Here is a 27,540-nt window from a genome sequence, read left to right on the forward strand (position 1 = left end):
TTGCCTCGAGGCTCTTCTTTTTCTATTCTTTTAAAAGTGACCATTAGAAATATTAATTAGAATCTACAATTGGGCCATTAGAATCTTCCCAACTTATGTATCTACATAACAGGGGCCTTCTACTGACAACTAGAACTCAAAGAGTAGAAGGCAAGCAGTCATGCACTCAAGCAGGTAGCAGGGAGCAACACTCAGGGGTAGGGAGCTCTGAGAACCCCTCCAATAAAACAGTGCTTGCAGCTCACTATCCCTCCCATGAGCAGTCACGGCTGGAAGCCACCATGGGGAAGATGCTTAAAGGGGCCTACACCCCTTCCCCTTTTGACACCCTGAGTTGCCAAATTCATAGATCCTCAAACACTTCTCATCCAAATTCCTGTTTCTAAATGGGGAAAGTGAGGCCCAGGGAGAGGAAGGCGCTTGCCTTGCCCAGGGCTGCTGAGAGATGGAGGCCCCCCTGCCCCAGCACACTGCCCACCTATGGGATCCACCTATGCTGCCTTATACTCTGGTGGACAGGGCACTTTTCTGGGTGGTCAAGTAAGCTTAAAATATCCTGTTGTCATGGCCCCCTAAAAAGGCACCCTGTCTCTACCCCTCTGCTAGCTAGGATCGCCTAAGTGCCAGGAAAGCCAGTACAGCCCCTCCATTCAGCAGTCCAAAACAGCTCTAGCTGCCTACAACTCACTCCAGTGAGAAAACCAAGATCCAAGTGCTCTCCAAGGGCCAAGAGCAAGGCAGGCAGAGTCAGGGTGAAGCCTGAAGCATCCAGCTCCCTGGTCCAGGGTGCACACTGGTCACAGTCCACACACACATGCACAACCAGAATCCCACACCTCCTAGCACAAAAAGTGGGTCCAAACTGTGAGCTTAACCTTCTGTCTTCTTCTGGGAGTCACCAGCCTCCTCTGTGTTCTACCAGCTACCACCAGGAGCATCCTCCCCTGACCCCATCGAGGCACCTGCTCCAGGAAGGCCCCCAGGCATGGGAGAGAAGACTCTTTCTAAGTGCAGCTGAGTCAGACTCGGCTTCTCAGGATGATCCAGTTTTATCATCACTGGGAGGGACGGCAGTCACCCGTGCCCTGGCCTGCAAGCCCCTTCACCCTCAGATGCCAGCAGACTGTGTTGCAGGAAGGCTACAGCTCAGGTCTTGAAGAGTCCAGAATCTGAGAGGAGGGTGCCTGAATTGGCTGCAGCAACTGGACAGGCCTGGGTGGACACTTACTTAGTATAGATCCATGGCCTGGCAGATGTAGGAGGAGCTCAATACTGAGTGTGGGTTGGGGTACTAGGACACATTTTGGAAAGACATGTACTTTCTGGCCTGTAGGTCTGTGGAAGGGAGAAAGGGGTTGAGGACAACTGCCAGGTCAGAATTTGCTGCAGCCACCAGCCACCATACCTGCCTGCTACTCAGGTGGCTTGTGCCAGTGATGAGTGGAGAGCATCCCCATCTCAGGGGACAGAGCTGTGCAGGGCTCAGGGGAGCTGGGGCTATGAACCTATGCTCCAACGGGAGCAGCTCTGGGCCTTAATGCTTGGGGTAAGCACTGAGATGCTGCAGCCCTGGGATTCTGCTGCTCTGGACTTTATCCCTCGGCATCTTTTGTTACTGATAGTCTTGGCTGCCTAGCTGGATGATTGACCCCATGAGGGCCAGAACTACCAGTCTTGGTTTTTTCTTTTTTAGAGACAGAGTCTTTCTCTGTCAACCAAAGAAAGGACGAGTGCAGTTATAGCTCACTGTAACCTCGAACTCCTGGGCTCAAGTGATCCCCCCACTTCAACCTCCCAAGTAGCTAGGACTACAGGTGCACACCACCATACCCGGGTAATTTTTATTTTTTATAGAGACCGGGTCTTGCTTTGTTACCCAGGTTGGTCTCAAATGCCTAGCCTCCCAAAGCATTGGGATTACAGGCATCAGCCACAGCACCTGGCCTTTGTCTTGTTCACAGAGCCCCTACAAGGCCTATAGTAAGTACGTGAAAATAAAAGAATGTGGGAATGGAGAGAGGGAAAAAGGAATTTATATGCTTGGGTCTAATCCTGCAAAAGAATAAAATGTTGGGATTCAGAGAGCTGTCATGGGGAGTGCCGGGGGCATGGGGAAAGGGCATGGCTGATACACATCCAGTTACTTCACCTGTCTACCCTGCTATTAAGCAGTTATGTGACCTTGGGCAAACCTGCCTGTGCCTCAGTTTCTTTGACTGTAAAACCAGAGTAAAAATACCTGTAGTACCTATTCTGTCATCAGGATAAAAATAACGTAACGTGAGACAGGGTGAAGATGAAAGAAGATGAAAACACCATTCAAGTCTTAACCTATTATTATCATGGTAAATCTTGTGACTATTGGGAAGGAGAGCAGCCAGAGGCTGAGGGCTGTTGGAGACACAGAAGCCATAAGGCAGCGTGTGAAGGCAGACATGCCCCCACCCAGCTCTAACTCAGTGCTGAGTGGAGGGGGATGGGGTGCCGGATCTCAGGCTCTGCCTTCCTTTTGTTCGGATGGAGCCTGAGAGAGAGGGGACAGCTGGCTCCAGGCGGAGATGCTGAAGCAGCAGAGGGTGCTGGCTCCACTGACCACTCCACCCCGTCTGTGGGGAGGCGTGGCCCTCCCTGGTGTGTACCCCACAGTCAGGGCCTGAGCCTGGCCACAGCCTGCCTCAGGCCTTCACAGGGAAGTGGAGGGGAAGGAGGAAAGGAGGGGGGATGTGTGTGTAACAATGACCTCCCTCTGTCCTGTCCTGCCCGGTAGGACACACACGCAGCCATTCCTCTCTGCTTGACCTCCTTTCAGGTAACAGAGGCTTTTTAAAGGACTGATCTAGGGCCACACTCCCTTTCTGCACACCTTCTTCTCAGCAGTCCCATGAGCCCCTCCTCCCTTTGTGGCCTTCTTGCAGCTGAGACACAAAATGGGAGCCCCTGCACACAGCCTGGGCTGCTAGGGAACACCAGAGGATGCCTCCTGCCCCACACCACCCCACGCTTGGGCAGTCAGGGAGACAGAAGGCAGCACAAACTCCCAGCATGGGGCCACCGTAACATGGAGCCTTTCCCCGCTTTTGGGCCTCCTGTCCTCTGGGAGTGGCCTGGCCCCCTGGGCCGCAACTCTTCTAGCTCCCAGAGTCTGTGTCCTCTTGCCTGCCCTGGGCACCATTCTCCTGGCAAGGTCTCTCCCAACAGGCTCAAAAGCCATCCTGCCCGAGACTGGGGCAGCTGGGAGACCACCGGGTGGCTGCAGGGTGGTCTGGACTGTAAAGCTGATGGTCCAAGGAGGAGGGAGAAGTCCCATCAGGACGTAGATGTGACCAGAGGAGAAATGCTGGTGGAGGACACCGGCCCCCGTGGCACTTGGTTTCTGTTGTGTCGCTGGGCTGGGCTCACCCTAGAGTCTGAAGAACGGTGAAGGGCCACGGCTGGCTGGCTGGCTTTTGCCGAGACACCAGCAGACAATGGGTTGGATGAAAAGAAAGCCCCCGGACTCCTGACTCACCCAGGCTTGAGCCTCCTGTCCTGATTGCTCAGTTCCAGATGCTTCCGTGCTTCTCCTGTGTCCCCACCCACGGCAAGGGAACTGGTTTGGTTACCACTGCCATCTGCTGCACCTCAGTCTCTCCCTCAGCCCTCAACTGAGGCGAGGCTGCCCCCCTACCAGGCCTGGATAGCACAGGACTGCCCTTGGCTGTCACCTCTGCTACAGAGGCAGGAGCTACAGTTTTATGTGTTTGTCACTAAGCGCTGTATGGCGTTTATCATACCTGGCTTACAGGTGGAGAAATGAAGGAAGAGAACTGTTCACTGACTTGCTCAGATTCACTTAGTGACCTGAGGTCTAAGCCCAGCTGTGCTGCCTCCCTGCTAAAGGCTCTGACCCTTTCTGGAAGCAGCAGGCCTGTGTATCCACATCCATGGGGCTGAAGTGCAGAGGGGCCATACCAGCTGCCTCTGGACGCCCAAGGCCCTGCAGCCTCAATACCTACTCAGGAGTCATGCCAGGGGCCATGAGTTCTCTCTCTGGCCAGACAAGTGCCTCCTGCTGCCAGGACTCAGGGCAATAGCAAGGCAAGAGGGTGGAGTCCCTGGAGCTTCCTGGGTGAGCTCTGCCTCGCAAGAGGCGTCCTGGCAGTAGCTGGTTCCTAGGGGAAGTGCTGAAGGGGCAGGGAAGAGAGGACTTCGTATGACCAGAGCTTGCTGGGACCATTCTCAACACTGATGATAAACCCTGATTTCCTGGAAGTCTGTTGGGCCTCAACAAGCGACGGGCTCTCCGCGGAAGCTTCAGCATTGTTTCTATCACAAGCCACCCCCAGAAGACCCCAGAAGCCTGGCCCAACAGGCCAGGACGAGCTCAAGTGTGGAAAAGCGGGGATTGCAGTTGGGAAGAAGCTGTCAGTTGCATCTGGACTGTAAAGTCCTATTGGACCACCACGGGGAGCTGATGGTCACCCTGGCTGGCTGCTGACAGGGGCTCCAGGCTCCAGCCCGCCCTTTGGCCAGAGCCCTGGAGGCACATCTGGGTGGCATCAGGATCTTGGACCCAGTCTGGCCCGTGCCCAGCATGGGGCTGCTTCTCCTCCACAGCTCCTTCCCAGAGGGCGGGGCCTCAGCCTCCCTGCCACGCCCACTCTGGGCTGGCCTGGAACATACTACTATGTTGACAGTAACAATAAAGCTCCTCAGGGACCACCGCACAGGCCCGCAGCCCCACTGCCTGCTGTTGGAAGAAAGCTGTGGAAAGAAAGCAGGGGGCCCCTGCCCCAGGCCAAGGCCCTGCCCTTGCCACACACGGTACACACATGCAGCCTCTCTCTCTCTCTCTGTCCACTGTGAAAATAAACTGCAGGCCTGGCTGGACAACAAAGCCAGAGGCACAGAATCTGGAAGACATCTGGTGTGGAGACCTCTCTATTGCACACAACGTCCCAGCGCACTCCACTCTCCACCCACTCCTGGGGCCTCTCTGTCCTCCCTTCCTTGGCCTTGGGTCATTCGTTATTCCTGGCTCGGGTCCACTCCGAGGTCCTCCTTAGCTGCCAGTCATCACAGGGGATGGCTGCCTCCACACTGCCTGCTCCAGGGACTCGAGTCCACTCCACGGAGAGCCTTGCCCAGCTGTGGCCAGCCTGTGAGTATCTTGGCCCGGCACACCCTGGCTTTCCCGGCTGCAAGTGCCTGCTCCAGCTCCAGTCCCAGCCCCTCCTCATGGCTCCAGCTCTCGGGAGAGGCGGGAGAGTTCCCGCTGGTTGTCAATGACCTTCAGCTGCTGGACATAAGCCCAGGTGCTGGCTGGACTCCGGGTGCTCAGGGACTGCTCCGAGCCTGGTGGAGGAGAGTAGTCAGGGAGGCACTGATGCCCCTTTGTGGAACCCAACCTTTCCCCTCCAAGGAGCCATATCACATCTGCCTTCTTGCCCTCCACCACCCACCAACCACTTCCCATCACCAATTCCTAAAGACGGCTGTCCCTGCCCACCCCACGGGTGAGGGGACCGAAGAGCCCCCTGGCTCAGAGCACAGAGGCTGAACATTATCAACATCATGTATGGAAGGGCCGGGCTCCGTGCCTGGCACATGGCAAGTGCCTAGGATGTGCCAGCCATGGGTAACTACCATAAGCACCCCCTCCCTGCCCACCCACCATCGCCCACCACTTACATGTGGAAATCCTCGCCACCTGGCTGTCCTCGTGGAGGTGGGAAACTCGGCTTCTGAGTGGTGAGAGAGGCACTGCGGGGGTGGGGAGGGGTCATGGAGTCAGGGCCACCCTGGAGCCTCACAGAGGATGTAGGGTGGGGGACCTCCCACCCCGGGGACCCGCCCTCTCACCAGGGTTGTGGCTTCGGCAGTGGTGCAGCATCCGCGCGGCTCTGGCCATCATTCTCTGCGGACAACACCGGGGCATAAGCTCTTGCCTGAGGGAGAAACCCTGTCCTGCCCTGTGCAGCAGCAGGGAGGCCAAGCTCCCTCTGAACCAAGGATCAGGGACTGTAAGATCCTTGGTTATGTGGCATCATGTGTACTTCGCCTCAGCACACCCAGAGGCCCAGCGGGGACCAGGCAGAGGACAGAAGGCAGAGGCCAGGAGAGAAAGGCTTAGAGAGAAGAGGGCTGGAAGGGCTCTCGTTGAATGGTGAGACGTCTGAGGCTGGCACCCTGGCAGACCCAGTTGCAGTGGAATAAGGCAGGGGCTATTACACAGTAAGTATTCATCCTCATATTATTCATAACAAGTTTAAGCTGCCTCCAAGCCCTGCCCCTTCCCAGGCCACAGTCATGTCCTCCAACCTATGTTAGTAGTGAATGCCTGCTCTCCCTGGACTCACCATCTTCTCAAAGTTGATGAGATTCTCCACTAGTGTGTGGTTTCCCTCATGAATGAAGGTCATGTCTGCAAAGAGATGGGTTTTGTTCATAGGTCCCCAAACTTCTGCCCTCCTGTAGCCCAGAAAAGGTGAAGGGCATAACGGCTCCCTTGGGCCTACCTCACCCCATAGAGCCCCTGCCTCTGCCCCCTCCAAGCCCCAGCAGCATTTCCTTGTATCTCTTAGGCCCTGAAGGCAGCCCGTATTTGTCTGGATGTCTTCATTCTTCCAGTCTAAGAACTCCTAATTCATCTCTGCACTCCCTGAGGCATCAGCACTTGAGGTATAATCTCTCCAACAGAGTGGGTGCACACACAGATAGGCATGGGATGGGGGATGGAGGCAGGAAGGGGGAAATGGGGGATGGAGGCAGGAAGGGGGGAATGGAGGGATGGAGGCAGGAAGCCCTGTTACCTTTGAGAAGAAGGGGCATGAAGGGGATGACAGGAGGGGAGAGCTTGGCGAGGGCCAGTCGGTATACCCGGTGGTTCCATGAGGGATCCTAGGGGAAGAAGCCACACTGAGGGGGTTGCACACACCATAAGCCACCACAGACCCCACCCAACCAAGGAGGGGCCACATGCCCATCCCACAGCAGGTGCAGAGGCCCCAACTCAGCCTCTCCTCAGCCCCAGGTCTCACCCAGGCTCTGTCACAGGCGAACACGGGGCTTCCAACCTCCCATTAGCACTGAGAAAATTCACAGCAGTTAGTCACAGGGGCCCCAGGTTTCTTGGAAAAGTCTGTCACTGTCACCTCTCTGTCCCTTTCTATCCCTGTCTCTTTCTGTGTCCCTCCCTCTCTCTCTCTGCAGAGTAAACTCCTTTGAATCCCTTGAGCCCCACGAGGTGGATTTTCTCTCAAGAGCTCCCAGGCTATGCTGATGAAGTACCTCTTCTCTGCTTCTCTCCAGAATAGTCAAAACCCTCAAAATCCTCAAAAGTTCCTGGAGGTGGGAGGTTCCACCCCCAACTCTATCCTCGCCTCTTCTACTGGTCTAGCCCGCAAGCCCCTCGGAGTTCCTGAGGGGCAGACAGGCCCTGGTGCACACAGGCGCTCCATGCCAGGCCCTTGGGCTCTGGAGCCCCTGACACTGCCCTGGCACCTCAGACCCCAGGACTGGACACCCACATGCTCCAGCCCAGTCTTCACACAGGATCTCCTGCCCCCATGCACACACTGAGGGCCAGGATGCACCGTGCAACCCCTATCCTAGTGCTGAACACCCCTTCCTCAGCCAGCTCCCCAAACTCACAGGCTGGAGCTAGGCCCTGGGCCGAGGTTGGGAACCCTGAAAGTGACAAAGGACGAGTAGAGGGGCTGCAGGGAAGCCAAGAGTGAGGGTGTCTGGAGGGCAGGGCCGAGCCCAGCTGATCCTAGCAGAGCCAGGCCGGGCAGGGTGGAGCACTCACCAGCAGCCTCTCGAGGGCGGAGTACAGCTTCCGGACTTTGTGAGGCAGCCGCTGTGAAAAGGAGGCAGATGAGCGGCTGCTCTGGGGGAGGCCCAGCCCCATCCAGCACTCCCAGGAGGGCCTGAGGCCTGACCTCAGGAGGGGGCCCTCCAGACCACACTTACCTCCCAGGTGTGGGCTAGGCGGCTGATGGCCGAGTTGCTGAGGCCAAACATGACGGCAAAGAAGGAATTGAGATTCTTCTGCTCCTTGAGGCTGTGAGCAGAAGACCCAGAGACCCTCAGGGTAAGGGAAGCAGCCACCCCTACAGTGCCCCCAGACAACAGCCAGGCCAGCCTCTGCAGAGATCCAAGCTGGATGGGGTGGGAAGGCAGAGGCTCCAGGGGACCCAGGGAACAAATAGGGTGGCAGATTTGGCAACATACTAAGCAAAGAGGGGGGCTTAGGAAAAGGTAGCCGGGGGGACTCTGGCCACGCCCTACCCACTGGACAGGGACTCACTGGGCCGCCAGCTTAATGAACTTCCTGAGCAGCTGGGCCCGGGGGCCGGGCACGGGGCAGAGACACAGCTCGGTGGCCACCCAGTACTGCAGCTCATTGAAGCGGCGCATGAAGCGCTCCAGGTTGGCGGTGGTGACATCCCGCAGATGCTGGGGGCCCAGCACATAGTGGATCAGCTCCACCTGGGTGGGGTCAGCAGGAGAGGTCAGCGAGTGCTGAGCCGAGCCGGGCGCCCCGCCGCCTGCTCTCCTCCCCCAGCTCTGCCTCCCATACCTGGTGGATACTGTTGAAGAGGCTCCAGTCGTGGTCCGTCAGCTGGCCTGCCAGGTCCTTGGCACTCACCAGGTCCAGCCCCTCAGCAGAGCCCACAGTGGGCCCCAGCTGGTCAGGGTGTGGGATCTGCGGGTGGGAGAGTGCTCAGGGGGCTGCCTGAGGAATCCAGGGAAAGGCACAGGGTAGGGGGAGAGGGTTGGGGCAAGGACTCTATGCTCGTGTTAGGAGGAGGGTTAGGAGGGCAGGAGTGGGGAGTAGAGGGTCTCTAGGGGCTATAGCAGCTGGAGGATAGGGCTCCCCAGTGCTGAGACCCCTCCTTTTGGGCTCCTGTCTCCTGGGGAACCCCTAACTAGGGCAGGTCCTCCTCTTTCTCCTTGGGAGCTCCCAACCAGTGCTACCAGCCCCTGCCCTGCACTATCTTGGGAATTCCCCCATCAGCTGAGGCCCACTCCTTTGTGTGCTGAGGACCCAGCAGCAGCCAGAGCCAGGCCCCTCCTCCCTCTTCTCCCTGGGACCCTCCCCAGAATCCACCACTGCCACACTCAAAATAGATCTCCTCCCTGGGCCCTGGCACCCTGCCTGGTCCCTACCAGCTCATGCACTTCCTGTGGGTTGACAACAAAGAGACGCTCATTGAGCCCCAGAGATGTGGCCACACCACGGGCATCTGGCTGCAGGCCAATGGCATCTGCAAAGACAGCAGAGGCGGACTGGGTGGGGGAAGGGAGGGAGGCCGGGGACCAGCTGGATGCCAGGGTGGAGGTGCTGTTTGGGAGGCTGAGAGGTTGTTTCTCCTAGTAGCGGGGTTGAAGTCCTGGGTGGTGCTCAGAATACACAGGTGCATGTGCCCACGCAGCCACGCAGCCCAGGGAAGCACATCCAAGAGGATGAGGAAAGATTCTCAGTGAGTCAGGAAGAACCTGGGCAGGGTCTGAGCCTCCCTCAGCCTCACTTTCTTCCCTGGTAAAATGGAGACAATAAGACTTGCCCCAACTATTTCATAAGTCAAATAAAATAATGTATATAAATAGTAGCTATAAGTACATGCTATGTATAAAAGCCCTTTGAAAATTGGGAAGTGTCTTATATAAGCCTTGGTGTTGATTTTCATCAGCTCCTCATGGACTGGGACTGTGCTTGAGTCCCCAGTCCCTAGAGCAGTGGCCTCCAAAGTAAGGTACATCAGATCATCCATGTGCCTGGGGAAAATATGAGCTCTTCTACTTACGTTTACTTTTTCTACCTGCTTTGCATTTCTACTCCATCAATTTCTATTTTATCTATCTTTATTATGATATTAATGTAGTAATATATGTGTATTACTTACAAACAAATATTCACACAGTGGGGTGTGGGTTTTAATTAAATGTTGGTTATTGACATGGGTGTCGATCCAAGTGCTTCGGAGATCAGTGCTCTAAACAGTGCCTGGCACATAGTAGGGTCTCAATAAACATGACCTTTGGGCAACTGCAACTCACCAGGTGGCCAGCAGAGGGCAGTGCTTCCCAGGGCAGGGCACACAGGTGACCATCTCTCCCCACTTCCTGAAGGGAGAAGGCTTTTCTTTTCTCATCCCCACTTCTTGAACGCCCCTAATTCTTGTCTGCCCTGGGTTCCAGCTGTCAAGCCCGTGCCCTCCGCAGAGAACAGTGGTTTTGAATGTTCCAGGTTCTCTGGAGGCCCATCTTAATACTCCTGAGCCCGCCATGTTCTCAGCACTGACTGGCAGGCCCTGTGCTAAGTGCTTTACACACATTAGCTCACTTAGCCATTGCAACCCTGTGGGTAGATACAATTACAGTCCTCATCTGACAGGTGAGGAAATGCAGGCTCAGAGAGGTTAAGCAACTTGCCCAGCATCACACAGCTAGTAAATGGTGAGCCTAAGATGCCTTCACGGGTCTGGGAGTCCACCGTCTATGCTCTTAACCATCAAGCTGACCTGTTTTACCTGCTGTGGTATCTCCAGCTCCTAACATATTGCTGGCTCATAGCTGATCCTCAAAAATGTTTGCTGAGTGACTAAACAAATGAAGACTACTTAAGTTCCAAGACCAGCTACTCTCACTGTGTGAGCTTGAGGAATAGCTCATGCCCTTTGAGCTTCAGTGTTCTTGTCTGAAAATAGGATAAAAGTACCTGTATCTCATGAGATTGTTATTAATTCATATTAAATGACTAAACACAAATGATGATAATAATAGCAGCTAATACTTATGTATCACTATGTGCCGGGCACCATTCTAAATGCTTTCATAGATGAACTCAATTGATCCTCACAATTCCTCCAGGAGGCAAGTACTCCTACTATTCCCATTTTATGGATGATAAAACTGAGCACAGAGGGATGAAGTACCCTGCCAGAGGACACACAGATGGTGAGCTAAAGGGCTGGTGCCGAATGCAAGCAGCAGGCTCCAGAGCTCATGCTCTTACACACTGCATGAAATGCACTTCGAACAGACGCACTCCACCTCCCATTAATGCTAGCCATCATTCACACTGAGGAAGACCAGAAAGATGACAATGATGACAATGATCTTGACTGGGGGACCTGGGCGCAGATCCGAGGGGCCACCCTCCCTTGGGGTCTATCCAGGGGCACAACTCACCACCTGCAGAATTGACCTTCACCAGCACCTGCCCCTTGGTCCAGCCATCCTCCTGGGCCAACGCTGCCATCACCTCTCTCACGGAGGCTGTCACAGGCAGCTGCAGGGTCAACACTGAGTGGTCTGGCCGGCAGATGTCATAGGGGACTGAAGAGGAGACCAGACTGAGCTGTGGGAAGGGCTGCCTGATCTCCACCCCAGGAGGGAGAGGGCGGCTATTGCAGTAATGGTGGGAGGGATCCCCAAGAGGCTGAGCTGCAGGTGGGGAGGCCCTGAGCAAAAAAGAGGCAGGTAGGAGGCAGATCTAGCCAGCAGCCTGGAACACAGACCCTGAGGAGTACAGCGTGCCACCTTGGCCCAGGCACACCGAGGTCAAGAGTGACGACAGCAGGACAAGAGAGGCAGAGACAGCAGGGTGCAGATGTCGGGCTGTGCCCAGCCGGCACAGACCACCAACCTTTATCCCCAACTTGGATGGCACAGCTGCTGCCAGGAAGGGGCTCGTCCTGGTTGGGGAGCCAAACAGGCAAGTTCCGGGCCTGGGAGGAAGAGGAACGAGAAAATAAGGCTGGGAGGACATGAGAGGAGACCGTGGAGGGAGGGATTGTGAGGTCCCTGTGTCACCAGGAGCACGGGCGCCACACAGCATTCACACCACCAGAGGGCTCTGCTTGCCACATTCACCTGAGCTCAGGTAAGGCACCTGGGACCAAGGATCCAGGAGAAGACACAACATGTCTAAGGGCGGGGCAAATCCATGCCCCTCCGTGTGTGTGTGCTTCTGCATCTGCCAGATAGGTCCAGAGCAGTTCTAATATGAAAATCCTTCAGCTGCTGACTTTGGTTTTCTCTTCCTTTTCCTCCAGCTACCATTTGCTACAAGCCAGGCATTATTCTGAGGATCTAAATATTCACAATGCGCCTTTGACAAAAGTATTATTTTTATTTCCATTTTATGGATGAAATAAATGAGGCTCAGAGAGGTTAAGTAACATGCCCAAAGCCACACAGCTGCTAACTGGCAGAGTTGGAATCCCTCCTGCTCCTTTCCCCCTCTGTGCTCCGATACTGTGTCAGTGGCCCTGTCCCAGCCCACAGCAGGGATGCAGTTCATGGAAACCACTGTCAGGCCTCTGCTGGCAGGGCAGCGCCTGCCAGGCAAGTCTCCTGACTCAGGTTCCCCTTCCCACCCTGCTTTTTTCCGACTCTGGTACTGACTCTGTCCCTCCTCCCAGCTCTGCGTATAGCAGATCCTCCAGGTTCGGACCTCAATCCATTGCTCTTCCCTACATTTCCAAATCTCAGGGACCCCTGCAGAGTTCCTTACTGCCTCATGTGTCGCCTGCACATGGGTGATTCCCAAAACTACCAGCAGTGCTGAACTCTCTTCCAAACCCTGGTCTCAAAAACCCCCTGCATCCTTCCACATGAATGATCCATTACCTCACACTCCATATACCCATCGGATCCTTGCATCCTGCCTCCCAGACCACTCTGTTCCCCAGCCATTCTCCCCAGCTCCAGGCTCCTCCACACTTCCGTAGCTTGTCATCTTGCTTTGAAGATTCTTCTTTGAAGTGGGTCTTCTGTGCCCCCTCCTCCCCTGCCCAGGCTAACTCCAGTTCCACCTGCCCACGAGGCCTCACTCCTTATCTACTCCAATGGCCCAACTATGCTCCTCCTCCTCCCTCCCAGGTGCCTCCAGCCCTCCTCCTCCAATCTGCCTGACCAGAGCCCTGTGAAGCTCCCGCACTCGACTTCAGTGGCGTCCATTGTCTGCTGGAGAAAGCCCAGGCTCTTTAGCTGACCTATTCAAAACACAAATCAGACTTTGCCAACCTTGGCTCAAACCCCTTTAATGGTTTGCACTGCTCTTAGGACAAAGATCAGACCCCTGTCCTTGGCCCAGGGGGCCCTGCCCACCTCCTGCCTGCTCTGGGGTCCTACTCTTACTCTCGCTCCTCCAGGGATCCTCCTCCTGGGTTCCCTTTCCTCCTGGGTTTGCCCACCAGGAATCCTCTTCTTCCTCCACCCTTGCCCCCTGCAGCTCTCAACTCCAGTAGTCGCTTACACGGGACACTTTCCCTGAATCTGCACTGGAGTTGGCTCTTCCCCTCCCGTTTTCAGGAGCGGACTACAGTTGGAAGAGCCGACTCCAGTGCACATTCAGGGAAAGTGTCCCGTGTCACTGCACATCACGGGTTGTTGAACTGCTCTGCCCCTTGCCTGACTGCAGCCCCACAGGCCAGGGTTGAATGAGGTGCAGCATCAGCACCTAGCGCAGTGCCCGGCCTGCGAGGGTGAGCCCACATCAGTTTCTGAGCGTCAGCCAAGAGCCAGGCAGCATGTGAGCAAGGAGAAGCGGAGGTGGGGGCCCGCAGGAGGGAAGTCAACTCTCCAGTGGGATGGGAGAGATACCAAAGGACAGAAAGCAAGTAGGCAAAGAAAACAACTCCACATGGCGAGAGTGCTTTGAAGAAAATCACAGAGGACACCAAGGCAGAGCGTGGTGGGAGAAAGGGGAGGGTGCTCCGGATAGGGAGACGGGAGGGGGCCTGTCTGGGAACCCAGCATTTGGCTGAGATGAGAACGAGAAGGATCCTGCCAGGCAGAGCCAGAGAAAGACCCTTCCAGGCTAAGGGATAAGTGCAAAGGCCCTGAGGGGAGAACGGGCTTCGCCTGCGGAGGAGAAGAAGCCAGTAAGAGTCTCCAGCAGGCAGGGGCTGGGACACACAGTAGGGTGGGACCATGGGGAGCCTGCTGGATGGTGAGGCCCCTGGATTTTATTCCCAGTGCAGCCCTCCCCACCACCAACCTAATCTACCTTTCCAGTTCTTTCTCCCACCATTCCTCAACCAAATCCTGGCTGCAGTCACATCTTCTCATCCCCTCTTTGCTTCCCTTTAAGCCCCAGCTGAGAATGGCCTGGGGCCCCCTCTGACTTTCCAGGGAGGGGCCTCGCCTTCCTCTGAGCTCCCACAGCACTGGCCACCAGGAGCCCCGTGGGCCTCAGGGGCCAACTCCAGCCACCATTCCTCATCTCCCAGGCTCTACCTGTGGGCATGAATTACCTCCCAAAAGGAATAAAAGGCCCATTGAGTCAGGGAGTGGGCGAGGAGGGAGGCCACCTTAGGCCTCTGCGCCTCCTGGCACGGCCTGGCCCAGGGCACCACATGCAGCAAGGGCCCCGTGAACACCTATCAGAGACCCAAGGGTGTGTCTGTGGGAGGAGAGCTTCCCACGCCCACAGAGCCCCTCAGGGTCAGGGGGCGAAGGAGGGGCCTGCAGTCCAGGAGGAGCAGAGGAAAGAAACTGGGGCCAGGCAGACACCTTCATCTGAGGAGATGCATTCCCACAGCCATTCTCCAACCTGCAGACAAGAGAGAAGGGAGGTGAGTGAGCCCAGGTATCCCTGGGGCTGCAGCAGGGAGGCCCTTGGGGCTCTGGATTCTCCCCGGCCCTCACCAGTGGTTCAGAGGTAAGCACGACCAGGTAAGTATCACATAAAGAGGGGAGAACACGGTCTTGAAACCAGGCCCCCAGACTTTGTGATTTTCCAAGGCCAGGAGGGGAAGGAAAAAGTTAAAGGCAGATGCAGACCCAGGGTTTCAGATCAAGTGCTGTTTCAGATGAGCTCCCAACCCCCCTGAATCTCAGCTGCTCCCGTGGGAATATCTGCAAAGGTGAAGGTAAAGTCTAGGAAATGTACCGGGCGGGACTGGCAGAAGCTGGCACTGAGGGTATTTGGTAATAAATGCATGCCCAATGGAGGAAGTGAGAACAGCAGGTGCACTCAGGATATGAGAATGAATAAATGAATGAGTGCCTGATGCATGAGAATGGAGGGACATGTGGTGTGAGGGTGAACAGCAAGGGGACTGATAAGAACAAGGAATTGAAGTAAGTGGTGCAGCCTGGATCTGAAGCCAAGTGCTTGACTCCAGAGCGTATGCTCTTGGTCCCCATGGCACTGCCAGTTATGGAAATGACAAATTAACAGAGTCAAAGCATCACCTGTGGCATCGCCGCCTCTCTGGCCACTGCTCCCTCAGCAGGTTGCTGAGTCGGGTGTCCCTGCCCACCAGGTCTGAGAGTTTCTAAGAAGAGCCAAGATTCACTGAGATGGCTGTAGCTGCATCCACCCCGGGCAGCCCAGCCCCGCTGTGCCTCACTCCCAGGTACCTGGAGGAAGCTGGTGGCCACAGGGTCAGTGTGGAGCATGGAGCCATACAGGGCCACCCACTGGCTGACCAGCCGCAAGATCTGCTGCCTCTTGTTGCAGACGTAGGTGCTGCGCTCCTGCTCGCTGCCACCCGCAGGCTCCACATGGAAGGTGGGCACCAGTCAAGGGAACCACAACATCCAAGCAGGGCCACCCACCTGAGGCAAAGGAGGGGCAGGATGCCCAGGGCCCCTGGCAAGCTGGGCCTGGCAGCAGGCTGGCATTTAAAGGGCTCAGCACAGCCACGCTGGTGAGATTTTCTCTCAACCCCACGCACCATCCTATCCCCATGCACACCATCCCCCTGGAGCTGGAAGGATATTGGTGCAGAAGGGCAGCGCAGAGTTGGGCGCTGGGCATGAAGACCCTGTGGGTCAGGAGGAAGTCGCTGAGGAATGTCTCTGTATGACAGGGTGAGGGGATGGGAGGAGGCTTCAGAGGCCAAGTCTGCTGAGCACAGGTGTATGGACAGCTGGAAGGACCCTTCCCCACATCCCACCACCTGCAAGGTCCCAGCAGTGTCCAGCCCCTGTGATAGTGCTCCCCACTAAGCCAAGAGCACAGGTAAGAGGACTTATTGCCAACTTCTGTACAGACCAATCCAGCATTCGGTGACGTCAGATGCAGGGTACCTGGCTCTCTCCCAGGCTCCATGGACCACCCAATGAGTCAGAAAGCAGGCAGGGTGTCTCTTGCCCTTACCTGTTGGGTCATGAGCACTGGAATCTGGTCCCATGGCCTCCAACAGAAGCTCTAGGATCTTCTCTGGGGTGCCAGACATCACTGTATACCTAGCAGAAATGGCCAATCTTTGGCACTGGTGCCACTACTCCCCACTCCCACACCTGGGCAGACATCAATAATCAATTACATCATTTTTCTCCATTAGCCAGCCCTGTCCCACCTTAGGGCAGGGAGGAGACTGGCTCAGCAGGCACATCCTGGTCCCTCAATACCTCTCCATCCACAAGTGGCCAGAGGGCAGGGATATGACACAGGGGAAGGGAGCAAAGATTGGGAAATGAAAGGAGGGACAGTGTGGAGAGGGAGCATGGCAGGTGTATTACCGGTTCCTGCCTGGGGTTGGGGGTCGGGAAGGGCCGGCGCCCTGAGAGGCTCTCTCCAGCACCAGCACCACTTTGCCATGTTCTTCCAGCCGCATGGTCTTTGCCTCCACATCCTGGAGAACAGGCCACATCCCATGCTCAACTCATGATGTTCCAGCTTTAGACCCTCTCATCTACCTCCTTCATTCCAGCCCCTGAGCCCCATGAGGGTCCCACAGGGACCCACAGCCCTTCTCCCACCTCCGACTTTGGCTCCACCTCCTCAGCCTTCCCTACCTTCCATGCATCCTGCCTCCCCCACAGCCTAGTCCCCCGCCCCCTGCATGCCCATCCTTCCCCTGGTCTCCCACACTGAGCCTGAAGTCACTGGTCTCACTGAACTCCTTCTGTGCCTTATGGGCTTCACCTTCTCACACACACCCAGGGCTATGGTCCCACTGCCAGCTGTCATAGCCCAGCATCTCTTACCTGCCCTGCTTCTTACAGGCCCTCTGCTCTGGTCCCTACTCCTCTCTCCACATCACTTCTCTGGACGAATGGCCCCTGCCCTCCCCAACCCCAGCAGCAGCACCTTGATGATACGGTTGAAGTCCTGCTTGTCCACACGCAGGAAATGACAGTTGTCTTCTCGCAGGATGATGGTGGCTGCCCGGGGTGCATCATTCACCAGAGCCAGCTGTCCAAAATCATCTCCCTCATGCAGGGTGGTCACCAGCCCCTGCAGCCAGGCCTCAGTCTCAGCCCGCCCCTGCCGCCCCTGCCGCCCCCAGCTCTTGCCAGGACAGACCCACGGCAGGAGAACAACCCACACAGGAGACACGGGGTCAGCAGCAGTAGATCAACAAAGGCACTGCCCATGAGGACATGGACCAGGGAGCAGTTAGGACCCAGGGCACTGGGGTGGGGAGGAGGGAGGGCTCACCTTGCCATGGGTCACCACGTTGACAGATCCCTTCCAGATAATGTACCACGAAGTGCCCTTGTCCCCCTGGCTGAACACTGACAGAAGCATACCTCAGACCGGGCCCTCCTGGCACCTACCATTCCTTCACACATCCTTCTGCCCATGTCCAGGCCCTGTGCCTGGCTTCTTATGCCCTGCTGGACTTACACACGGTCCCTGCCTTGCTGTGTGGTTCAAAGAGCAGAACAGCCGCTAATTCTCGCTTCACCTGTGTGGTGGAGATAGGAGAGTCGGTGGCGACAAGTTCATGTGCAGAGCAGCCAGGCTTTTGCTAGGGGTGTGGTTAGGTCCAAAGACACAAGTGCTGGGGGACAAAGATGTGGCCAGGTCAGGTGTTCCCAGGATTCAGCAGGAGACAAAGCAAGTGGAGAAAATGGGCTGAGAGAGGCGGAAGGATTTTCAGACAGGGCAGCGCCGGGGGCAAGAAATCAGACTGAAAATTTCCAGCCATAGATGGAAGTGGAGAAATGCCCTCTGGCCCAGCAGTTGGAGTTTCAGGGAAGTCACAGGAAGAGAAGATGCCTGGTACGGGGCAGGGCTGGGAGGGGCAGGACTGACCGAGTTGGAGAGGTGGGCCACAGCCTTGATGTGCAGCAGCTCCTCAAAGATGAGGTCCAGCTCTTCATCCGTGCGCTGACCTGGGCTGCAGGGACAGGAGGAATGGGAGCACACTGTGAACTGTGGGCCCGTCAGGTGCAGGGAGCCACTCCACCCACCCAGCCGATGCCTGTGCCAGACGGTGCCTCAGCAGTGACAGTTATCAGCAGCAGCTAACCTTTACTGAGTGCGCACATGTGGCAGCGCTTGTGATGAGCATTTTGCATGCATTGTTTCACAACAACCCTAAGGAGTGGTTCTATCATCCTCACTTGACAGAACAGGAACTAGCATGAGGAGGCTCAAGGTCACCCAGCCAGTAGCCAGTCCAGCTGGAATTTGAACCTGGACCCACCGGACTGCAGTTTCCAAAACCCACTTGCTTTCAGCCACAACTGTGTCTCTGAGTGGGAAGGGTCCTCAGAGATCCCCCTGGTCCAACATCCTCATCTACAGAGGAAGAAACTGACTTGGGGGGGTTTGGGAGTGTGGAGGGATCCAGGTCACACAGTGAGTCCGTGGCAGTCAGCGCCAGGGGCTTCTGGGCCAGCCAGGTTCCCTTCCCTCCACAACAGGTAAGGGATGCCCCCAGAGATCAATCTGAGAAACCGTGAAATCTGAGTGCTGTGTGAGGCCTGGGGTCACGGGGTGCAGGGATTCTGACTCACGGCTTTCGAAGTGCCACAGTGAGCAGGGCGTCAGGCCCCCGCTGGGAGAGCAGGGCCACAGCTTCGGCCAACTCCTCCTCCATCTCATGAGTTCTCACGGGCTCGGGCTCGGGCCCGGGGAACCGGTAGAATTGGGCATCTCGGTCCTGGAAGGCCCAGTCGTGTTTCACTGGGGGGCAGAGGCCCAGGCGTGGGGGAGGAGAGGAAATTGAGGCTATGTGGGTATGAAACCCCACTGCGATGCCACCCCTCAGCACTCCCCAAGTAGTGCCTGCTTCCCAGGACTGCCCTGTCCTGTCCCCCTCACTGCCCAGCCCAGCCCGGGGCACCCCACCCTGGGCTCGGGCTCACCATGGCAGAGGGCACCTTCATCCAGCAGCACCTGGCAGATTCCCACAACTTGGCTCCGGGAATGGACCCCAAGTCCCAGGGCCAAGATCCCATCCACCAGCTCCCGGCCAGAGCAGCACTGCCTATGGAAGGTAGAAGGGGACAGGCCAGTGGAAGGAGGGTGGCAGGGAGAGGGAGGAACTATGCATTAGAAAGGCACCCTCTGAGGCCCAAGCCTGGTTCGTCCCTGTGCTAGAAGCAGGGTGAGGCCCAGGTGCCTGACATAAAGTGGAACGGAGAGAAAGCAGTGAGGCTGGGCAAGGAGGCAGCAGGGCCTCCACTCACCGATAGAGCCTAAGGTGGTACTTCCGGTCTCGGATGAGGTTTGGGCAGGTGGCCAGCAGATGCCGATGCAGCTGCCTCCCAGCCCTGAGCACCCGCTCTGTGGAGGCCTTAGAGGGAGGAAGGGCACAGCAGTTCAGGCTCTGAACCCCTCATGGTGCTGCCTGTCCCAGCTCCACCCTGCCCAGGCTTCTACCTGCTCCAGGCTCTCGCTGAAATCCAGGGACTCCTCGCTGTTGGTGAGTGGTGTCTGGGGGCAGCAGGGAAAGCGTGCACATCAGTGTGAGGTCTTCAAGCCCAGCTCTTGGATACCTCCCCTCCCCCATCACTCCCACTCTTGCCTAGGCCCCAACCCCAAATGCATCCATGTGGCCACTCCTTCAGCAAATAAACAAATATTCACTCAGCACCCTGTGCCCCGGGCATCGCCTCTTCCCACCCTGCCATCCTGATCACCAAACCCAACTCAAGGACTGCCTCCCTACAGTTGAGAGCCCTAAGACACCCATTCTGCTTACTCAGGGCCCAGGTGTGCCCATGCCCCCAGGTGAACTGCCCCTGTTGGGGGAAAGAAGTGAGGGAGCTGGAAGGAGCATGAGGACATGAGATAAGAAGACCTGGGAGATGGGAGCCAGGATGTGAGCAGCTCAGGAGGCCTGGGAACATCCGCTCCTGGGCTGGGGTCACAGACCTGATCCCCAGCCAGGTTCTGTGTCCTTCCACAGGCCCATGAGCAGGTGTCTTGCCATCTCTGGGCCTCGGATCAGCCTGGTTGTCAAAACACAAACCCTGGAGCCAGGCTCCTGGATTAAAATCTCTGCTTCCCCACTGATGGCAGATGTGACCTGAAACAAATGATTTAACCTCTCCCTCCCTACCTGAGTCTCCTGAACTGTAAAATCTACAAAGCACTAATAATACCGACTCATGAGGTTTTGGGAGAATTAAATGAGTTGCTACACATCGAATGTTTAAAGCATTGCCTGGCATATAGTTGTATGCACATGTTAGCTAGTACTCATCTGTGAGGCATTAGGGTGGGGCTGCTTGCTGGAAAGCGTCTTTCTTCTCTGAGATGTTGCTAGCCTGTGCCCTGCGAGAGTGAATAAGTCCTTGGTGGCACACAGGACTGGCTCAGGAAGACGCACTTTATCATGGAAACACTGCTTAGTAAGGATTCCCTGCCCTTGGTAACAAGCCATTTGGAACTCCCGGGCCTGTACGCCCTGGAATAATGGCCATGAAAGCCCCTCACGACCCTTCTCTTCCTACCACCTGAGAATCTGGGGTTTGTGGACATCTCTGGACAGGATGCTCTACCATCTACGAGCCCTCTCAAAGGGCTCACTTTACAGTTTACAAAGCACTTTACAGTTTACAAAGCACAATCGCCCCCTTGATTTCATTGGATCTCATGTAAAATAGGATCAGATGTGAAATAGGCAGAGCAGGCATTGTCTGTCCTCTGTCACTTACAAGGAAATAAAAGCCTGGAGGTGAGGTACCTTGTGTAACTCAGTTGCGCATACTTCGGACAGCCAGACAGCTGTGGAGAAGTTCAAGTTCCCACCCAGAAGTGCTCCCATTCTCAGTCTCCCTACACCCACCCCACCTGCCCCTTTCCTCTCCCCTCACCAGCCACCTCTCTCCTAGCTTCCCATCTGGCTTCAGGTCCCTGAAAAGGACCTGCTGGGGAGTTGCAGTACAACCAGTCCTGGTGCTGGCAGGGCCCTGGGCACAGGCATCTTGGCACTGCGTGCCCAAGCAGAGGCCTGAGGTCTGGCATGTGCAGGCGCCTGGCCCAGGGCTGGGCGGAAGTCACTAGGTGTCCCAAGGGTATCCCTGCCCGGGTCATGGGGCCCAGCCCAGTGCCAGACACAGAGCCCTGGAGACTTAACGACAGGAAATGAGAAGGAGGAGGAGCCAGGGAAGGGAGGAAGGGCAGGAATGCTACCCAGCCAGCCCCCTGTGTCGGAACAAACAGTGCCTGAGTGCTAATGACTTGTTGTTCATATCAAAATGCCCAGGTGGCCCCAGTCCCTGCCCCAACTCCCATTGGAGCCCACAACCCAGGCTCCAGCACCAGCCCCCTTCCTGGTATTATTCTGACTTGGGAGAGGGCACATTAGGAGGGGTGGTGCTGGGTCACGTGGCCAGGTTGGTCATTTCCTGTCCTCCCCCAGGGGATGAGGATGCAGGTCAGAGAATGGCCCTAGTCCATGAGCACTGAGGAAGGGACTTTAAGGAATCCCTCTCATTTTGACAAGGAAAGCAAAAGCCCAGAGAGATCACACAACTATTTAGAAAGGTAAGATTCTACTGAATAACTCTGCTACTGGTGCTGACCCCAGAGGTAGGTATTTGTTTCCTATTTCACAGCTAGAGAAAAGAAAGCTCCAAGGTTCTATAACCTGCCCTAACTGTTGGTCAATAAGGGCACCAGGATTCATACCTATGTCTGATTCCAAAGGCCATGCTCTTAGCATTATGCCCTACCGTCTTCCATTATGCCTATTCCCATGTTTCCTCAGCTTTGTGCTATAGGCACAGACAGTAGAGGTATTCTGCCTTCAGGCAAGTTCTGTGGGCAAGTAAGTTTGGAAACCACTGGGTTAGACAAAGATAGACAGGTTTGTTATTCTACCCTCTCTGTGCCCCCAGGATGTTTGTGTGCCTGCCAACCTTCTAGGATGGGGCGGAGAGAGGGCTGCTATTCAAGGGCAGTGGTCAAGTGTGTAGGCTCTGCAGCCAGATGCTTGGGTTCAAATCCTAGCTTTTGCGTTACCATCTGGTTGTGTGAGCTCGTGCTGATTACTGAAGTTTGCAGTGCTTCGGTTTCCTCATCTGTAAACTGGGGTTGATGATATGAATAGTACCTATCACAAAGGGTTATGAGGATCAAAAAGTTAATAATATAAAGTACTTGGAATGGTGCCTGGATCATAGTAACTACTTAGTAAGTTTAGTTGACTTGATCAGATGTTATTATTTCATGATGGGCCCTATTACCAGGACACAGTGCAAAAAAATACAATGCTAGTCATGTCAGTTTCAGGGTTCTCAGTTGGGAAGAAGCAGCTGATATGAGTCAAGGTGAAGGTCCTCCTCACCCACTCCCCACTCTCATTCCTGAACAGAAAGGGTTCAGGGCGGAAGAGGAGGCACTAACTCCCCTGGCACCAGCACTGTGGCCTGCCCCACCCTCACTCCCTGTCACTGAATGTCAGAGCTGGGCTGGAGAGACAGGCACAGAGCCAGACAGCCTGGGGACCTGTCAGACCAGTTCCCTTGGGCCATAGCTAAGGTGTCAAGCTAGGGCTGCTTGTGGTGGGACAGGGGAAGGGTGCATGGGGCCGGGATGATGCCTTAAGGTGTCAGTGTTACTGTTCGTAGCAAGAGAGAAGTGCAGCATGGTGGTTATGTGGTTATGAGCTTGGACTCTGCAGCCAGATTGCCTGGGACCAAAGCCCAGCTTTGCCACTTAGCAGCTGCGTAACTCTGAATCTGTCACTTAACCTCTCTGTGGCTTTGTTTTCACATCTATAAAATGGAGATGATGACATTAGTACCTATCTCACAGGGCTGTTGTGAGAATTATTTGATATGATAAAGGCAAACCTCTTTCAATAATGTCTGGCACATAAGTACTGTATAACTATTAACTACTACTATTATTTGGATAGGTTGAATGAAAGTGCGTTCTCGGAGTTACAAAACAGGGCCACTTCCCCAAGAACAGTCACACAAAGAGAATCATCTCAGACTTCCCTGAGCTAGTAGAACCCACCACAGGTCACTCTGATCTTGCCCCTGCCCCCGGACATCAGACAAGATCTCACCTCCCCCTCTTATTTTCCAAAGATGTTCTTCCATCCCATTCCAGTGTCACTTTTGCAATAGCTGTTAAGTCTTATCTTAGTCTGTATCTAACTGCAAGCCCTCCTACTGTAACCCGCTTTCATTTTCTCTTGTCCTGGTCTAGGTAGGAACAGAAAGAGCTGTCTTCAGACTTCTTCTCTGGGAGGTTGATGGGTTTTCCCCTTGGCTTTCGAAGAGGGAGGTCTGGCCTCAATAACTGGCAGTGCTGTCTTCCTGGGACTCGGGCTCCACCCCTTCACCATGGGCGTGCATGCTCACAGCTGGCACTCATTCCCTCACGGAAGCCTTCCCTGGGCTAAAGGCATCATCAAGAGGTAAGAAGTACAGCTTCACAGGTACCCAGAGCCTCTCAAATATAGGCATGATGGAATGAAACCTCCCCACCCCAGTCCCCAAAGTTGGTCATCAGAAGAGGGAGTGGCCGCCTGCCTCTAAACACTAAAAATCTAAGTTCCCTCTAGTCACCAACGCCCACCTGGCACGGAAAGGCCTTGTTTTGGTGCCTTTGACCCCATTTACACTCCAGCAACCTTTACCCCCACCTTTCTGGCCTTCCCCTGCACACCAGCCCTTCATTTCTGGGGGCTGTGGAGAGTCAGGAGACAGCTTGGTGGCCTCCTCCACTCCCTCCCAGACTTCAGGTCCCAGGAGATCCTCCAGTGACCTATTGTCCTGGCACCTGACCTTCTCCCTACCCCCTACCTTGCTTCCACAAGCTGGGAAGGGGACAGGAAATGCACAAATAATTATAGCCCAAGAGGGAAGGAGGGAGGGAGGGTTCCAGCCCACTGGCTCCAGGCAATAGCTACAGCCAGTGACCCGGAGAGCGGAGAGCCGGAGAGCCAGAGGGGTAGCGGAGGAGGACCCAGGCTCATGATAAGGAAGACCCTAGTAGAGAACAGCTCTACCAGGACTGACATGTGGACTCTCCTCTCAATTCTGATTGCAAAGAGGAGCCCCTCATCTTGGTAGGTCTCAGTTTTTTCAACTCAGCCTCACTGTAAATGGCAGTTGGGCAAGGTAGGGGGAAGGAGGGAGAGGGTGGTGGTTATTCCACTCAAAAGGACTTGCCAATAAGAAGTGAACTCTCGGCTAGGCGCAATGGCTCATGCTTGTAATCCCAGTGCTTTGGGAGGGCGAGGTGGGCAGATCACGAGGTCAAGCGATCAAGACCATCCTGGCCAATATGGTGAAACCCCATCTCTACTAAAAATACAAAAATTAGCTGGGCGTGGTGGCGCACACCTGTAGCCCCAGCTACTCAGGAAGCTGAGGCAGGAGAATCACTTGAACCTGGGAGGCAGAGGCTGTAGTGAGCCAAGATTGCTTCACTGCACTCCAGCCTGGTGACAGAGGAAGACTCTGGTTAAAAAAAAAAAAAAGAAAGAAAAGAAAAAAGAAATGAACTCTCCCGGCCAAGCGCAGTGGGTCACGCCTGTAATACCAGCACTTTGGGAGGCCAAGGCAGGTGGATTGCTTGGGCCTAGGAGTTCAAGACCTACCTAGGCAACATAGCGAAACCTGGGTGGACACACGCAGTGGAGACATAACTGAATCTCAAGCTAAGCTACTCTATTTAGTCTGGATGGTTGGGGATAGCTTCTCTGCTGATTTGGATAGTACAGCCATTATCTTGCCTCCCAAATCCCACCATTCTTTCCCCTCCCTGCTCTCTCCTTCATTCTTTCAGGTCCAGAGATGTTTCTCACTAGCAAAGGGCACTTTGGTGATCTCAGATTCTCCAAATGTCTCAGAATCCTTCCCTGAGCCCCCCAAAGGCAGGTACCAAGCAGTGTCCACATGATCACCTCACCCTAAGACCAAAACGCAGAATTAGCACAGTTCAGTAACTCACTAAAGGAGAATGTTGCCACGGTGATGCACCCAGAACTGTAACCAAGCTTACCTCACTCCAACCCATTGACCCGGCCCCCATACCTCCCACCTCCACCTGGAAAGAACACACAAGTACCTAACTCAATGCCGGCTCACTGAGGTGACAGATAAACAACAAATCCCTTTCCCCTTCCCCCCATGCCCAAACAGAGACATTTGGGCAGAACACACACACAGACACACACACGTTGCAGCTGTGTGAGCCACCCACGCACACTGCAGACAAGCTTCCTGACCCAGTGTCCACGGCAGCTGTACCACTGTACACCCCCAGAGCAAGCTGGGCCACCAGCAGCATGCCAAGCCATGATCTAGGCCCCCCTCTAGCTCTGGTACTGGCCCTGGCACCTGGGCAGGTGAAAGGTACTCACCCAGCGCAGCCCCTGGATGCAGCTCGGACGCTGGTGCTCCAGCAGCAGCTGGTAGGAGCAGCTTCGGGGCCGGTGCATCCTTCTCAACACCATGTTGAGTAGTGTCCCCTCCGGCACCACGTCAGGGAGGGCTCCCACCCGCGGTGCTCCCAGAGCTGGGCTATCCTCCACAGCCAGGCCCACCTGCCAGCAGCTCTCACCTGGCCAGCCCACCTGTGACACGGGGAGGAAAGTGGACAGCCATGGGACACGACTGGGGCGGCTGGGCCACAGTACAACTGCCCCAGGCAGAACTACTTCCTTAGAGTCCTCTGGACTGGTCAGGCGGAGGTGCTGCAACCCTGCCAGGAGCTGGGGGGAGGAACAGGAAGACCTTCACTGGGGCCTGCCGGTCTGGCGCACTTAGGGGTCTCCAGCTGGCTCTTGGAAAAGATCAGGCCCTTCTTAGTCCTCTTTGGAATTCTGTCCCATCTCACTGCCCATGCCCCTGCAGGGATCTCCACTACCTCCCAGTATGAAGCTATAGATTCACTAGGTCTCCCAGAAATGCAGCTTCGGCTTAAACCCTTCTCCTCTCCTCCTCAGCCCTGACTAACCCTCCCTCTCCCACCCAAACTCCCCACCGTGTCAGCTTCCTCTCCCGCCCTCTCCTGCTCCTCCTCAACCCTGACCCCACCTTACCCACCTTCATGTTTCTTTTCAAGCTCGCACAGCCGTGCAGGCTCTAGCAAAAGGCTGGGGGGTCCCCAGCGACCCCCATCAGCTTTGATAAGGGGATCCGGAGGGTGCCAGTGGGTAAGTCCAGGTACAGTGAACTGGGCCAGTGCCTAGCTGGACTGGCTGCCAGGGCAGCAGGATGCAGGGCTCGGTGGAGAGGCTCCTCTTGGGTGAGTAGAGGGGTGGGGGCGTGGTGGGGGGACGCCACCCAGCCACCGGCGACAGGGAGCCCCGAGCCTGCGCCTTCGTCTCAGACGAAGGAGCCAGCTGGCACCGGGCGCTGAAGCAAGGCTGCGCTGGCACCGGTCCGGGCGGGAGCTGTCACACCCCCTGCGCTGCCCGCCCCCTTCCCCTCCCCAGGACTGGCGGAGGGGGCGGGGTGGAGGCGCCCTGCCTTACGGTAGAGGAATGCGTAGGGGAAGGGGGCCGGCACTGGCAGGCTTTGGAGTCCGCACCCGGGGGTACCAGAGTGGACATCCGCCTGAGCCCAGAGTATCCCCAGGGGGCAGGAGCGGCCCCGAAGTGTGTGGAGGAGGCCGCAACGGCCGGGGTGTCAGGGATCCGGCGGTGAGTGGCTGCACTGGCCGCCACGTGGCCGGGAGGAGAAATGCAAACAAGGAAACCGGGGAGAGCGGGGAGGGGGTGAGTCACTGCGGCCTCACCCGGGAGGGAAATCCGGGCTGGGGCCGCTTCCCGGCTGGGGGTGTCTGCCTCCTGTTTCGGTTCAGGGTCTCCAGCCGCCCGGGGGAGGGAATAGGCGGCTTTCCCGCGGGGAATCCCGCTGCCTTGCCTCCCACAGTTCCGTTCCCAGACCCACGCCCCACTGCCCCCTGCCCCAGCACACACACACCGGGAGCAGTTGAGGAAACTGAGGCTGGAGAGGAAGGACTGCTCTCCAGAACGGGTAGGGGCCCTAAGAGGAGATTGGGGTTGTGGCAGAGCTTCCAGGGGAGCAGAAGGTGTTCGAGTACCACGCCCCCTACCGCGCGCTCCCTGGTGGCCGGGTAGGTTGAGGCGGAGACCGGGCATTCCAGCGCCCTGCTAGGCAGGCTTGCTACCGAGGCTCCACGCCTCCCTGGGCCTCAGTTTCCACCACTGTGCAAATGGCCCAGCGCGGGCCTCTTCGCCCCACTCCTGAGAGGGTGGAGAGACAGTGGCCGGGGACAGCGACCCGTAATTCAGGACGATAATGAGGGTTTGGAAGGAGGTGAACGCCCCACCCCCAGCTTTTTAGGACTTTTTGCCCCTTCTCTTCCCTTTTCCCTTTGCTGTTGAGCCAGCCCAGACTGGGAAGAAGTATCTCTAAAAA

General features: G+C 56.1%; 2 protein-coding genes across 12 annotated transcripts in view, besides 11 other annotated features; one reads left to right on the top strand and one right to left on the bottom strand.

Annotated features, from left to right (window-relative positions):
• Positions 1-2,011: 2,011 nt before the first annotated feature.
• On the bottom strand, positions 2,012-26,529 carry RAPGEF3 (Rap guanine nucleotide exchange factor 3). Of its 10 annotated transcripts, none has more exons than NM_001098531.4 (28): positions 26,200-26,529; positions 25,515-25,727; positions 19,565-19,618; positions 19,372-19,478; positions 19,048-19,169; positions 18,697-18,865; positions 17,990-18,074; positions 17,579-17,639; positions 17,390-17,466; positions 17,039-17,185; positions 16,468-16,580; positions 16,103-16,191; positions 15,723-15,801; positions 15,361-15,511; positions 15,193-15,275; positions 14,509-14,548; positions 11,636-11,717; positions 11,179-11,325; positions 9,154-9,251; positions 8,564-8,689; positions 8,291-8,472; positions 7,954-8,044; positions 7,790-7,840; positions 6,792-6,879; positions 6,339-6,403; positions 5,842-5,896; positions 5,671-5,742; positions 2,012-5,334 (listed from the first exon to the last, which is right to left on the bottom strand). In NM_001098531.4, the coding sequence occupies exons 1-28, from the start codon at positions 26,203-26,205 to the stop codon at positions 5,216-5,218; spliced, it is 2,772 nt and encodes a 923-aa protein (NP_001092001.2). In that variant the 5' UTR covers positions 26,206-26,529; the 3' UTR covers positions 2,012-5,215.
• Positions 5,794-6,993: an enhancer, noted in NCBI's record as "BRD4-independent group 4 enhancer chr12:48131928-48133127 (GRCh37/hg19 assembly coordinates)". NCBI's record gives its function as "activates an origin of replication core promoter dependent on BRD2, P300/CBP, MED14 and CDK7 cofactors, and independent of BRD4, by STARR-seq in HCT116 cells {active_cell/tissue: HCT116}" and the evidence as "EXISTENCE:reporter gene assay evidence [ECO:0000049][PMID:35650434]".
• Positions 8,387-8,636: an enhancer, noted in NCBI's record as "active region_6260". NCBI's record gives its function as "activates an Ori minimal core promoter by ATAC-STARR-seq in GM12878 lymphoblastoid cells {active_cell/tissue: GM12878}" and the evidence as "EXISTENCE:reporter gene assay evidence [ECO:0000049][PMID:35858748]".
• Positions 10,290-10,339: an enhancer, noted in NCBI's record as "active region_6261". NCBI's record gives its function as "activates an Ori minimal core promoter by ATAC-STARR-seq in GM12878 lymphoblastoid cells {active_cell/tissue: GM12878}" and the evidence as "EXISTENCE:reporter gene assay evidence [ECO:0000049][PMID:35858748]".
• Positions 20,109-20,650: an enhancer, noted in NCBI's record as "H3K27ac hESC enhancer chr12:48146243-48146784 (GRCh37/hg19 assembly coordinates)". NCBI's record gives its function as "activates a minimal SCP1, AML or CMV promoter by ChIP-STARR-seq in primed H9 embryonic stem cells {active_cell/tissue: H9 hESC(primed)}" and the evidence as "EXISTENCE:reporter gene assay evidence [ECO:0000049][PMID:30033119]".
• Positions 21,135-21,429: an enhancer, noted in NCBI's record as "tiled region #8178; HepG2 Activating non-DNase unmatched - State 20:ReprD, and K562 Activating non-DNase unmatched - State 7:EnhWF". NCBI's record gives its function as "activates a minimal TATA promoter and a strong SV40 promoter by Sharpr-MPRA in HepG2 and K562 cells {active_cell/tissue: HepG2 | K562}" and the evidence as "EXISTENCE:reporter gene assay evidence [ECO:0000049][PMID:27701403]".
• SLC48A1 (solute carrier family 48 member 1) overlaps positions 21,583-27,540 on the top strand; it is a 28,818-nt gene continuing 22,860 nt past the window's right edge. Inside the window, exons 1-2 of one of the 2 annotated variants that reach the window (XM_047429134.1) lie at positions 21,583-21,676; positions 23,351-23,561. In XM_047429134.1, the coding sequence (XP_047285090.1) occupies positions 23,498-23,561 (64 nt within the window). In that variant the 5' untranslated portion in view covers positions 21,583-21,676; positions 23,351-23,497. Of the gene's footprint in view, positions 21,677-23,350; positions 23,562-26,315; positions 26,402-27,540 lie in introns of those variants that run through there. The other variant, XM_005269016.4, reaches the window with a different exon arrangement.
• Positions 23,257-23,426: an enhancer, noted in NCBI's record as "active region_6262". NCBI's record gives its function as "activates an Ori minimal core promoter by ATAC-STARR-seq in GM12878 lymphoblastoid cells {active_cell/tissue: GM12878}" and the evidence as "EXISTENCE:reporter gene assay evidence [ECO:0000049][PMID:35858748]".
• Positions 23,457-23,526: an enhancer, noted in NCBI's record as "active region_6263". NCBI's record gives its function as "activates an Ori minimal core promoter by ATAC-STARR-seq in GM12878 lymphoblastoid cells {active_cell/tissue: GM12878}" and the evidence as "EXISTENCE:reporter gene assay evidence [ECO:0000049][PMID:35858748]".
• Positions 25,740-26,408: an enhancer, noted in NCBI's record as "H3K27ac-H3K4me1 hESC enhancer chr12:48151874-48152542 (GRCh37/hg19 assembly coordinates)". NCBI's record gives its function as "activates a minimal SCP1, AML or CMV promoter by ChIP-STARR-seq in naive H9 embryonic stem cells {active_cell/tissue: H9 hESC(naive)}" and the evidence as "EXISTENCE:reporter gene assay evidence [ECO:0000049][PMID:30033119]".
• Positions 26,349-26,698: a silencer, noted in NCBI's record as "silent region_4396". NCBI's record gives its function as "represses an Ori minimal core promoter by ATAC-STARR-seq in GM12878 lymphoblastoid cells {active_cell/tissue: GM12878}" and the evidence as "EXISTENCE:reporter gene assay evidence [ECO:0000049][PMID:35858748]".
• Positions 26,349-27,077: a biological region, named in NCBI's record as "H3K4me1 hESC enhancer GRCh37_chr12:48152543-48153211".
• Positions 26,409-27,077: an enhancer, noted in NCBI's record as "H3K4me1 hESC enhancer chr12:48152543-48153211 (GRCh37/hg19 assembly coordinates)". NCBI's record gives its function as "activates a minimal SCP1, AML or CMV promoter by ChIP-STARR-seq in naive H9 embryonic stem cells {active_cell/tissue: H9 hESC(naive)}" and the evidence as "EXISTENCE:reporter gene assay evidence [ECO:0000049][PMID:30033119]".

The sequence above is a fragment of the Homo sapiens genome, chromosome 12 (genome assembly GCF_000001405.40).
Source record: "Homo sapiens chromosome 12, GRCh38.p14 Primary Assembly".
Lineage (NCBI taxonomy): Eukaryota > Metazoa > Chordata > Mammalia > Primates > Hominidae > Homo > Homo sapiens.